A 13,418-nucleotide genomic window follows, 5' to 3' on the forward strand; every position below is an offset into this window, starting at 1 on the left:
GGAGCTTGCTTTTTTATTATAAGAAGGAGAAAGAAATGAACTTGTCCTCTTGTGTTGCAGATTCAGTGGTTCTTTCCTTTGACTCCGCTGGACAAACACTAGGCTCAGGTACCAACTCTTCCCCCTCTATCATCTTTTTGGCCTTCAATATTAGCCATATTTTTTGTGAAGCCTAATCAAGTATGGGTTTGCTGGGGAGGGCAGTGGAATATCCCAGAATTGGGGGAAGTCTCAAGAAGCCTTTCTAGAGACTTTATGGTCAGGGAAGCAGAAGAGGGACATATCCAGAGAACTTTTCCAGTTACTTTAAAAGTGCACAGAGGAGTTACAGTAGATGCTCCCTCTTCATTCAGAGTTGTCAAGAGTCACATAAAAGGATGTCTGTTTTCTGTGCATATATCCTGTCTCAGAAGGTGGGGCAGAGGGCATTGAAAGACCCCAGGCTGTGGGAATGCTGGAGCAGATAACCATCAGGGCTCTCTACTAGAATGCTGGGCTGGTGGGAGCATCCCAGTTTCCTGAGGACATACACTCCATTGCATGTTTACATGCACACCCCATATATTCAAATACAGACCTCTTCCAGGAGAGGAGTACCACACTGTACTGTGTACTCATGCCAAAATGCATGTAGGTGGACACACTCCTTCTCTTCCCTGTTTACAGTGCAGGACACACAGATCAGCACACCTGCCCCAAATTCACCCAGACCCAGTGGAGCCTGGCTCTGCCATGTCTAGGGCAGTTTACCTGTTCCACATCACTGTGCCTGTTGACAGGAAGTGGGAAGAGACTACTTTGATTCCTCAGCTTGCTGCCATTGGGTCCCTATGGGAGCCTCAGAATGACGTGACTTTGAGGGAAGAGTATCTCTGTGTTTTTAGGTAAAGTCAGGTGGGCCTCATACCATGGGTACTGCCAGTGAATGCCAGGGAGACTGCTGGCCTGTTGAGGGCAGTTAATTCATTTTGCCGTCCTTAGATATGGTAGATTGATGATTCACAAAACAGCCATGAGGGTCAGGCAGTTGTAGTAGAGTGGACAAGAGGAAAGACATTCAGAGAATATGATCACAGCCACCACTATTTACTGAGGGTCTGCCTGTTTTACTGTGTGCCAGCACTGTGCTGAGTGCTTGATACACCTCTCAGCTATCTCTTACAATCGCTTTTTATTTTTATTTTTTTTATTTTTAATGTTTATGGGTACATAGTGGGTGTATATATTTATAGGGTACATGAGATGTTTTGATACAGGCATACAATGAGTAATAATCACATCAGGGCAAATGGGGTATCCATTATCTGAAGCATTTACGGTTTATTTGTGTTACAGACATTTCAATTACACTCTTTTAATTATTTCAAAATACACAATAAATTTTTGTTGACTATAATCACTCTGCTGTGCTATCAAATACTAGATCTCCTTACAACAGCTTTGATATCTTTAATTATAGATAAAGAAGCTAATGCTCAAAGACATGAAGTAACCTGTTCAGGGCCATTCATATCTGTCTAACTCTAGAGCCCATCCTCTCTCCCTTAGCATCTTTCTATCTCATACCTTGTGTGCTTCCCACCAAAATGCTGAGGCTATGAGAAGTCACTTTAAGGTAGAGTGGACAGACAGAAAGAGTTCTTAAATGGATCCAAAACTTGCATCTATTTGTATAGTAAAAGATTGGTCATTTTATTACATAAAAGTTGAGAACTTCTATTAATCAAAAGACCCTATTAAGAGAGTGAAAAGGCAGGCTGGATGGGCATAGTGGCTCACACCTATAATCTCAGCACTTTGGGAGGCTGAGACAGGAGGACAGCTTGAGGCCAGGAATTTGTGACCAGCTTGGGTAACACAGTGAGACCCCAACTCTACAAAAATTTTTTTAAAATAGTAAGGGCACGGTGGCGTGTGCCTGTAGTCTGAGGTACTCAGGATGCTAAGCAGGAGGATCACTTGAGCCCAGGAGTTAGAGGCTGCAATGAGCTATGATTGCACCACTGCACTCCAACCTGGGTGACACAGTGAGACCCTGTCTCTGGAAAAAAAAAAAAAAAAAGAAGGAAAAAAGAGAGAGAGTGAAAGGAAATCCAGAGTGAAAAAAATATCTTTACAACACAAATAATCAACAAAAGGCTTGTTTCCAGAACAAAGAACGACAGAAGTCAATAGGAATAAAGGAGCAACTCATTACAGAAATGAGCAAGACTTGAACAGGCATTTCACAAAAGAGAAAGTCCAAATGGCCAATAAACCCAAGAAAAGGTGTTTGATTGTATTAGTACTCAGCAAAATGCAAATTAGAATCCCAATGAGATATCAATACACATCTACCAAATGGCAAAACTTGAAAAGCTTGACAATTCCAATGTTGATAAGGATGTGGTGCAGTGGAAACTCTGATTTTCTACTTGTTGGAGCATAATTTGGTACAACCACTGTGGAATAAACTGTGGCAGTATCTAGCTAAATTTGGATATACACATACCTGGTGACTTAGCAATTCCTCCTCTAGGTATATTATCTGCAGAAATGGATGCTTATACATAACAGGACATATATATGCAAGATATGTGTATAAGAATGTTTATAAGAACATTGTTCATAATTGTCAAAAACCAAAAACAATCCAAATACCTAACAACAGTAGAATGACTATGCAAATTGTATTATATTCATAGGGAACAGTAAAAATGAGCAAACCATAGCCAGATGCAACAATATGGATAAATATTAAAGACATATTGTTGGGTGAAAGAAGTCAGACAAAACAGTACATACTGTGTTTATCCTTTCATAAAAAGTTCAAAAACAAATGAAATTAAACCATATTTGCTTTTAGATACATAATTCAGTATTAAAACTATAAAGAAAAGCAAGGAATTGAATTCTATAATAGCTAGATGGTGGTGTTCAAGGGGGTATGTTGAGGGATGGGTACAGGGGGGCTTCTAGTGTGTTGATATATTATTTTTAGTGACCTGAAGGGGTTTTATAGGTGTCCATTTTACAGTAACTCACTAGCTGTGCTTTGTATTAAAAATGTAAAATATAGCAAATATATAGAAAAGTACATAAAACCTCAATGTACAGCTAATAATGTTCAAGGGGATTTTGGTCCTCAGCCTCCATCTCCCTTGGAGTTATAAAAAGATCTTGGGCTTAATCTGCAAATAACTATGGACCATGGCAATAAGCCTCCCAGGTTTGTACAAGGTTCTCAGTGAAGGCTGGCAAAGAATGAGAATTCAGACATTTTTCCACTGATTCCCTCTTAGTGGAAGATAGATCAAGTTGATTCAGAGTCAGCCTCAAATTATAACTGGTTTTCAGTTTACCTAGCCTTCAGTTTTCCCGACAACACCTACCAGCTTCGACACCTAGTTCTGCCTTATTCATGCTCTCATGGAATATTTGCAAGAGGCCAATAGTTTTGCTATCTCCTGCTTTGCATCAAGCCTAAAAGGGAATGGTAACCAGGCAAGAGCTGGGTAGAGGTCTTCACAGTGGCCACTTTACTGTTTTATTTGGAGAGAATTTACAAAGCGCTGGGCATACCACATCGCCAAAAACGTTTTAGAACTTTAGCAGGATAACTTTGGAATTAATCCCTATTTGACTTTCTTTCTGTTAGTGTAGGTACTTAAAAGTAAGAAAAAGGTTCCAGTTCCAGATAAGACAGAGTGAGCACACTCACTCTATCTCTGAATGCAGCTAAAGGCCTGTTCAGAATGCATTTAATAGCAGTTTGAGGACTCTGAAACATAAATAGTAGCAGACAGATAGGGGAAGAATACCAGAATTCAATGTATTACTGAACTGGCAGTGAGTTTCCTATTTTCCCTTCAGTGTCCCATGTCTTGGACTCAAGGCACCCCAAACCCCAGCAATGGACACCAAGGCACAAACAGCTTCAGGAAAAGACCTCTAGTTAAAGCTCTGGGGTGGGAAAAGGGCTCCCAAGGCTCAGACAGAGGGGAATATCCCAAGAGTTGTTCCCTCATGCCCCAGCCCCCAGGCAATCCCACAGTGATGGTGGTTGGGAGAGTGCCAGCAGTAGGCCCTTCAAGCACCTAAAACTGAGAGAGAGGAACTTTCCTCTCTGATCAGAGGAGCTATAGTCCCAAGAGGATGGGGTGCAATTTTGGTTGCTTGTTTTCTGTCTTTGTCTTCCTGCTGCTTGGCCCCAGATTTGAGTGCAGTTCAGAAAATTCATGGCAGAATGTGGTAATTAAAGCCCCAGCTTTCTGGCCAGAGGCCCAGGAAGGGGAGTCACAAGAAACCAGAAGGCAGGAAAGAGAAAGCAAAGGGAAAGGGAGCTCAGGAAAGCAACCGCTTTAAGTTATTTATGGACTTCAGGATAACCCAAGCTGTGCAGGTATGCATCTGATTCTAAACAACATACCAAAGACTTTCAGAACTGACCTAAGGGACAGACCACTGCCCAAGTCCCAGACTGGATGCACACACAGAGGACTCTTCTGAACAGGCTTTGAAAATGGAACTGATGTTGAAACCACAACCCACAGAAGGCTAGTTGGAATTTGCTGCCCGAACCCAACCTGGTCGATTGTCTGCTAAAACAAAAATATGAACATTCTCCACTGGATTTAAACAAGATGTAGAGTCTCATAATAAGATTCAGAATATCCCAGATATGAACCAAAATGAAGAACCAGGAAAATTTGAACTTGCATGGGAAAAGTTAATCAACCAATGCCAGTGCTGAGGTGACACAGATGTTTGAATAATCTAATAAAGACTTTTTAAACAGCTATGATAAAAATGCTCCCCAAAGTAAAGGCAAAGTCTGTTGAAATGAATAGAAAACTAGAAAATCTTTGCAAAAAAAGTAAAGGTTAGGTGCAGTGGCCCATGCCTGTAATCCCAACACTTTGGGAGGCTGAGGCAGAAGGATCACTTGAGACTAGGAGTTTGAAACCAGCCTGGGCAACATTGCAGAGAACTCTTCTCTACAAAATTAAAGAAGAATATTAGCCAGGCATGGTGGCACACACCTGTAGTCTCAGCTACTTGGGAGGCTGAGGCAGGAGGATCACTTGAGCCCAGGAATTCAAGGCTGCAGTTAGCTATGATCACACCAGCCTAGGTGCACTCTGCACTCCAGCCTAGGTGACAGTGAGACCCTATCTCTAAAAAAATTTAAAAATATTAAAGATTTTTTTAAATGAAGGTCTTAGCAAACAAAAAAAGAGGAAGAAAATATAAAGAAGAACCAAATAAAGCAATAAAACTATCCAATTGGAACAACAGAGAAAATCTTTTAAAAGTTGAACAGAGCCTAGTGACTTGTGGCACAATACTAGAAGATTTATCATTCGTGTCTTCAGAGTTCCATATGAAATTTTTGAAGAAACAATGGCTAAAACGTCCCAAATTTGGTGACCAAGTGTGGTTTATCCTGGGAATGGAAGGCTGGTTCAACAATGAAAAAATCAATATAATCCACCGTATTAACTGTCTAAAGAAAAAAAACTGCATGGTCTTATTAATTGATGAAGAAAACGCATTTGACAGAATTCAACATCTATTTATGATAAAAACGCTCAGCAAACATAGAAAGGAACTTCTTCATCCTGACATCGGCCATCTACAAAAACCTACAGCAAACATCATACTTTATGGTAAAAGACTGCTCTCCCCCTAACATCAGGAAATACTTCTGGAAGGTCTAGTCAATGTAATAAAGCAATAAAAAGGATACAGAATGGAAAGGAAGAAACAAAATTAACCGTTTTCATAGATGACATGATTGCCTACATAGGAAATCCCAAGGAATCTACAAAAACATTCCTAGAACTAATAACTGAGTTTAGCAAGATGACAGGATACGAGGTCAAAACACAGAAGTTCATCATGTTTTTAAGTACTAGCAATGAGCAGTTGAAAACCAAAATTTAAAACACATAGCAGCTTCCCGAAACCAAATACTTATGTGTAAATGCTTATATATAAATCTGATGAAACATATATAGGAGCTGTATGCTGAAACTAGTTCCTCTCCCACTTTTTCTTCCCCATCTACCCAACTGAAAGTTCAGGCTGCAAACCTAGAATCACCCTGATTGTTCCTCTTCCTTTACCCTCTCCCCCTTTCCTGTCTTCACAATGTGTTCTTCTCTAGCCGCTTCTTTCTAGCACCACTGCCCAAGGTACCATCTTCTCTTCCCTAGACTAGAAACATCTCCTGACTGGCCTGTCTGTGCCACTTATTGCCTTCTGTACCTTGTAGCCAGAGTAATCTTCCAGAAACCTAAATCGGATCCTGTCTTGTTACCACTGAAGCCTCTCCAGTGACCTTACAGTACATTTACAATAAAATCCAAACTTGTCCCTCCTTCCTGAGTCCTACTTAACCTCTCCAATTTCCCTGTAGTTCATTTGCCTTCAGCCCACTGCCCTCACGCTACATTGGCATGCCTGTGGCTCCTTGAGGATGTCAGGTCCTTTCCTGCCTCAGGGTCTTTGTGCTTGCTGTTCCCACTTCCTAGACTGTTCTTACCTCCTGCTTTGCGTTGCTGTCTTCAGGCCTCTGTCCCACTGTCACCTCCGCCAGAAGGTCTTCCCAGACCACTTCATCTAAAGTAGTCCACTCCTCTAACCAGTCCTTCTCTAAAAAAGTATGTCTTCAGTTTTTCTTAGCATGCCTCCTTCCTTCAAACTATTTGCTTATTTACTTGCACACTGTCAATCTCCCCTACTAAAATGTAGGCTTCATTTTGGCCAAGGACTTGGTCTGTTTTGTTCATCACTGTATCGCCGGTATTTAGAATGCGTCTGGCACATAATAGGTGCTAAGTAGGTGTTAAATAAATAGGTGTTAAAGAATAGAAAATTAGGAACAACAATATTCACTAATTAAGGAGTGCTTGAGGTCAAATAAATAATGGCATATCCATTCATTGGAGTAACTGCAGTCATTTAAAATGATGATGCAGTTTTACTTTTATTGACACAGACGATGTCGAGGATATTGTTGAGTGAACAAAACAAACAAACAGCATGCATATTAAGGCCAAGTGTAGGTAAAATTATGTATGTACGTTCATACATATACAGTATTTATGGAAAGAGATTTCTGGGAAAATAGTCACCAAAATATTTGTAGCAGTTAGCCCTAGGTAAATAGGGGTTTCAAATGGTTCTTACTTCATTCTTTATAAGTGTTTTGGATTTGGATTTTTGTATTGAGCATATGTTATTTTAATAACTGGGAAAAAATTAAGTTATTTTTGTTTGGGGAGTAGAGCTCTCTCTTATTTTGTTTAATAATTGCTTTGTGATTGTCGTAGTCTCTTTGGGCTGCTATAACAAAAATACCTTAGACTGGGTAATTTATAAACAACAGAAATTTATTGCTCACAGTTCTGAAGGCTGGGAAGTCCAAGATCAAGACATCAGCAGATTCAGTGTTTGGAAAGGGTCCATTCCTCATAGATGGAACCTTCTGTGTGTGTCCTAACAAGACAGAAGAGGCAAATAGGCTCCCTCAGCCCTCCCTGATAAAAATATCAATCCCATCCTAGGGGTGGAGCCCTCATGACCTAATTACCTTCTAAAGGCCCTACCTCTTAATACTATCACATTGGATATCAGGTTCCAGCACATGAATTCACAGGGGACACCCAACATTCAGACCATTTCAGTGAGTATTTATGCCCTATCTATCCCATGAGGTGGTAAGCTCCATGAAGTTTAAGATACAAACTGCAGAGTGAGCCATTTTTTCCCATTTCCTGTACCAGCAGCTGTTTTGACATGCTGTCCCTCCTAATCCTCCTGCAGCTTAGTGCAAGATGCCCTGGGATGGCCCGGACACAGTTGATGCTGTGAATAGGATTAAATTCACTGCAGTACTCAGCCCTAGATATCTGCTATTTTCCCAAGACAGAAGAGAGATAGATGGGTGCAGTGACATTTTTGGCTGCTGTGGGAGGGGGCTTCCAGGGCTCCTTCTGTAGCCTGTGATTCTCTTACCTGGGGCCAAGGACATGTCATGCTCCCTTGGCCCCCAGTATGCCACGTTGGAGAAGAGCTGTGCTGTGCTCAGATGGAGGCCTGATAGTCACAGGGGACTCTGTTACCAGAAGCTTCCTACTAGGCCTCTCACCTCCCCCACACCAACATACACCCATTTGAGATTGGATCTTAGTTTGTAAACTTCTAAGTTATTTTACTGAATCAGTTAATTTAGTCTAGGTCAGTGGGCTTTTCTGTGTTTATTTTAGAAAAATGCTTTTCCTTTTAGTTTCTCTTTGATTAATTGATCCCATGTTGTGGTTTATTTCCCTGACTTGAGATGATGTGGGAGCTATTTGCACTTTGGCCAGACCTTCTCAGGCCTCTTTTGACTCCCATGATTCATGTGTGGTATGGCCAGGGCCTTCTGACATCACCCTGGGGCAGGAGATGGGAGGTAATAGTACATCATTGCTGTCATGGAAACTGTGCTGCTAATGTGAGGGTCTGCTTTTCTTGTTTCCTCTGAGAGTCATTGTGGGCATAACGTAAAGGAAAGAATCAGCCCTGGGTTGGTTCCACGGCATCCCTGCTAGCCTACTTCATGATTGGGGGATCTTGAACATATCTCCCCTGTCTAAACCTCTCTTTCCTCATCTGTAAAATATAGTACCTGCCTCATGGGGCTGTATAGGTGACAGTACTGAGAACAGCATGAATACAAAGGAAGATGCTCAATAAATAGTAGTTCCTCTCAGTCCCTTCATTCTGCAAGCCTGACAGCCCATTTGGAACTATTGCCAACTTCTTCCTCCACCCAAGCCATGGCATATATTACATATGTTTAATATACCCCATGACTTTTTTTTAGAGATTGTACAGTGACATTTCTTAAGAAATGATAGAGCTGTTTTGGCTAGGGTAGGTCCTCATTCCATTTACTGCCATTCCCTTCGTACTTAGCAATTCATCATAGCCCAGAGATTGGAGCCAAAGACCACTTTAAAGAAGATCTGGCAGCAGAGCTGCTTCTCTGGGTAAATGGAGTTTTCTTGCCTCATGGACTATCCTGCCTATGTGGCTTTGTGAATTATAATTCGAAGCACGGCAATTTCTGATAGAACCAAGTTCATGTTTTTATCCCATAAAATACCAAACTTTATATACCTCAATAATGCTCCTTAAATTGGTGTTCATGGGCAATATTTGTGGTTGTCATCAGTAGCAGTCATTTAATAAGCATCTTCTTTGTGCCAGGTACAGTGACAGCTGATTGGAATTTGTGGTGGTTCATTACAATGAAAAAAGGAAGTGGGTCACTCACAACGGAAATGCCAGTAGCATGTTAGGCTCATCATGTACAACCGTATTCCTTGAAATTCCATTCTGGGGCTCAGTAGCCTGAAGGTGAGGCTACAGTAGGACACCTGGCTTCAGGAACCTTCAAGAAGCTCTCTCTTTTGTCCTGGAACAGGATGTGACTGCACAGCCTGGTGCTCCCAACTGCACGTCAGAATGTAGGTAGGAAGTAATACTTATGTGCTATACTAGGACAAATAGGAGAGGACTTGGAGTTGTCTACATAGGGCATTGTGAAAACATTTGTGATTTTTTTTTTTTTTTAATATTACAGAACTGTGATGAACAGGCCAGGTATGGTGGCTCACACCTGTAATCCCAGCACTTTGGGAGGCCAAAGCAGGAGGATCAGTTGAGCCCAGGAGTTTGAGACCAGTCTGGGCAACATGGTGAAACCTGTCTCTACAAAAAAATAAAAAATTAGCCAGGCGTGGTGGCATTGCACCTATAGTCCCAGCAGCATTGCACCTCTAGTCCCAGCAGCATTGCGCCTTTAGTCCAAACTACTCAGGAGGCTGAGATGGGAGGGTCACCTGAGCCCAGGAGGTCAAGAGTGGGACGATCCGAGTTTGCACCACTGCACTCCAGCCTGGGTGACAGAGTGAGACCCTGTGTCAAACAAACAAACAAACAAACAAACCAAAAAGAACTATGATGAGCAAAATGAAACACAAAGTATTAAGAAATTTATTAAATATTGAATTGCTATACCATAAAAATCTTTTCAAGTTTTTAATTAAAAACTAGAGCTTGTTTCGGTGTTCATAAATTTTTATTCAGGAGTTTTGTCTGGGAAGGCTTCACATAACTCCTGTCAAGGCTTTTTAATGATACTCTCTTAAAAAATACTCAGTTATCATCAAAAACTCACACAAATAACTGACAAAAATATAAAATCATTTTTATACTTATTCAGATGTTTACAGCAGTTGAAATTATATTTTAAAAATCCAACAGTTCTTCCTTTTCCTTAATCAAAATTGTAAGGTTGAAATTTCTTCAGTTAGAACAAATGGATTTCAAATCTAATCTCACTTTTTTGTATCAGGTATTTCAAAATAGCGTGAAGCTCTGTTGCAAAATGTATATGAATTCTTAGAGCAGTCACCCTGGAGTTGGTTGGAGATCATAAAAGGCTACATTCAATGCACATAAGCAGCGATACTACCCAATATGTGAGAACAGGTGTGTTGCCCTTCACCTGGAGCTGTGCTCCCCTGGGAGTCCCCACCTGGCTGGCCTGCCACTGACCAGCAGCCTCTTGGGCAACACTCTGCTCCATGAGTTTTTCATGCAACATTTTTCATGGAACATAATTTTTACTTGAAAGTACAATTGACAGACTGTGGTTTTTTCAGACTTTGGAATTTGGCAGACATTTTCTCAGTAATGAAAGTGAGCATTATCACTTCAAGGGAAATAACTGACAGTATTTTGTTGCCGGCAATAAAATGTTATTCCATGCAATAGCTTCTCAATACTTAAATTTTAAATTAAGAGTTGGAGGCTGACCCTATGTTATGGCCTCACAGTTGGTTGGTTTTTGTTTTGTTTTGTTTTTGTTTTTGAGACAGAGTCTCACTCTGTCGCCCAGTGCAATGGCGCCATCTCGGCTCACTGCAGCCTCCACCTCCCGGGTTCAAATGATTCTCCTGCCTCAGCCTCCCAAGTAGCTGGGACTACAGGCACGTGCCACCACACCTGGCTAATTTTTGTATTTTTAGTAGAGACGGGGTTTCACTGTATTGGCCAGGCTGGTCTTGAACTCCTGACCTTGTGATCCGCCCGCGTTGGCCTCCCAAAATGCTGGAATTACAGGCATGAGCCACCATGCTTAGCCTGGTCGGGTTTTGTAAATGCTCCCTACATGTCTTGTAGGCCGGGCACAGTGGTACGCACCTAGAGTCCCAGTTACTCGGGCTGAGGTGGGAGGATCACTTGGGCCCAGCAGTTTGAATCCAGCCTGGGCAGCATAGCAAGATCCCACCTCAAAAAAAAAAAAAAGGAATGTGCATTCACCATTTGTTGGATGTAAGGTTCTCTGTATGTCTGTTAGTTTAAATTTAGTAATTGTTCTGTTCAAATCTTCTGAATTCTCACAGACTTTGTGAGCCCGATTTTTCAGTGGTTTATGATGGTAGACCAACGGTGTCATTTTCTTTTAGTTCTGTTAATTTTGCTTTATATGTAACAAGGTTTCATTATTACATGTATTCACACTTTAATGCATGGGATCCTTTTGTTTATGTCCAGTTTCTGAACCTTTTAAGAGTTTACATCAGTGTTCCAGTGTTCATCCAACAAGTTATATGAATCTTTTGCTATGACATCTAGACTGACTTATTCCTTTAAGGCGGCAATGGAAGAGTTAATGGTTAATTTCAAAGACGTCTGAAAAAGCACTTTGTGCATTCACAGCTCTGACTTGGTGCACGTGCAGGAGGGGAAGGTCAGGGATTTGCATCAGCCATGTCACTCCCCACCTGGAGCTGGGCAGAGACACACGTGCTCCTTGGTCAGTGATTTTTGTAATCCTGGGCTTTCCAGCCTGGCCAAAGCAGGAAGCCTAAGCCATCAGACTAAACACTTCTGCTGGCTTTCTGCTTTCATACCTGGGGAGGAGAGTATCTTCAGGTGCTAGGAGAGCTGGAATATGAGTGCATATTGTGCCTGGCTGGCCTGGGATTCCTAGAGTGTTCTGTTCTTTGTACAGATCTGGGATCATTGGGCTGCTGGTGAGACCCAGACTTTCATGCCACTACCCGAGAGGTGAATAGTCCCTGAAGTGTTGGTACACTCAAAATAGCAGTTCCTCTGTATAAGGCAAATTCACATGCAACTCTAAGAACACATTTGTATAAAGGAGATGCGCTGGGATCTGTAACCTTGCCCAACCCCAGCAGTAGAGAAGCTCTGCTCCTGTATTCCTGGAGTATAATGCCTATGCCTTCCTGATTGCTTTCTTTTCTCATTTACACTTCCTAAAGATGATGCTTAAATTTTCCTGCTAGTCAGGGAACTCTGTGAGGGGCCACACACAGACTGAATAATCAGTAACATGACTATGAGGCTGGGGCTGAGAGTAAAGTGCTTGTCAGGTAAAGACCTTGGTTGAGATGGAGCAGACAGACGCCAGTGACTCAGGTGACTCAGGAAGTCTTTGTGGAGAGGGTTAAATTTCAGGCCTTTATACATGATGGGAGGGAACTACCTTGGCAAACTGGGAGTTCTTAAAAGGGAACCCCAAAGCAAAACTCAGAAAATAGAAGGTGTGAAGGGCATTAAATAAACAGTGTGGCAGACAGTTAGTTGCGCCTAAGAAGAGCCAGAGGAGGCTCGCTGTGGGCAGGTGACAGTGATGTAATCAGATAGGCTGGGAGCCAGGAAGGGCCAGAGCAAGGGAATCACTGCAGTCGAAGATGGCAGGCGAGGGAGAAGGAGAGGGAGAGGAAGCCCCTGCTGCTGCCATCACTGCTACCACCAGCACTGCCCCCTCACTGCAAGGGGTGGAGGAAGACAAAGACTCCAGGTCTCAGGGCACTTACTAGGCTGCCTTGCTTATTTGGTCACTCTTTCCACTCTTCCATCCATTCAGTACATTATGGAATACCAACTCTGTGCCAGATGTGATATTGGGTGCAGAGGTGAGCCCTGCCCTTTATGAGAACCCAAATACATGTAAGCTAGGATAGTTTAATTGAAAGCAACAAAAACTGACTGGGGATAACTGTTTTTAAAAAGGAATTTACCAGAAGGACATGGGTACCCACAGAATCCAATTGGAAGCTAAACATCGAGCCCTCAGAAAGAACATGAAGGGCAGCCCCAGGAATCTAGGTTGCAGGAACAAGTGGTCCCCCTCTTCAGCACATTATTTTTCTCCCTCGTGTCGCTGAGTTTAGGGAAGAAATTGTCCCACTAACCTAGCTTTTGTCAGGTGCCTACACTTTGGACATAAATCCCATCGACAGTCTCACCACTTGCCTGCAATGGGAGAAGAGCAGTTCCCTGAAGGAAACCCAAGGGGCTTGTTTCTAAAAGGACAGAAACAACAGATGTGCATTGCAGGTTCATGA

General features: G+C 42.1%; 1 protein-coding gene across 60 annotated transcripts in view; it reads left to right on the forward strand.

Annotated features, from left to right (window-relative positions):
• The window catches only part of ST3GAL3 (ST3 beta-galactoside alpha-2,3-sialyltransferase 3), a 223,624-nt gene that overhangs the window by 84,506 nt on the left and 125,700 nt on the right, over positions 1-13,418 (forward strand). For 41 of the 60 annotated variants that reach the window (NR_073021.3, NR_073018.3, NR_146867.2 and 38 more), the window contains exon 3: positions 61-108. The exons of 16 other annotated variants lie outside the window; for them this stretch is intronic. Coding sequence is in view for 29 of the 44 variants with exons in the window: in XM_047428200.1 (XP_047284156.1) it covers positions 61-108 (48 nt within the window). In the remaining 15 variants the exon portion in view is untranslated. Of the gene's footprint in view, positions 1-60; positions 109-9,366; positions 9,505-13,418 lie in introns of those variants that run through there. 3 more of the 60 variants (XM_047428201.1, XM_047428236.1, XM_017002116.2) reach the window with 2 other exon arrangements.

The sequence above is a fragment of the Homo sapiens genome, chromosome 1 (genome assembly GCF_000001405.40).
Source record: "Homo sapiens chromosome 1, GRCh38.p14 Primary Assembly".
NCBI lineage: Eukaryota > Metazoa > Chordata > Mammalia > Primates > Hominidae > Homo > Homo sapiens.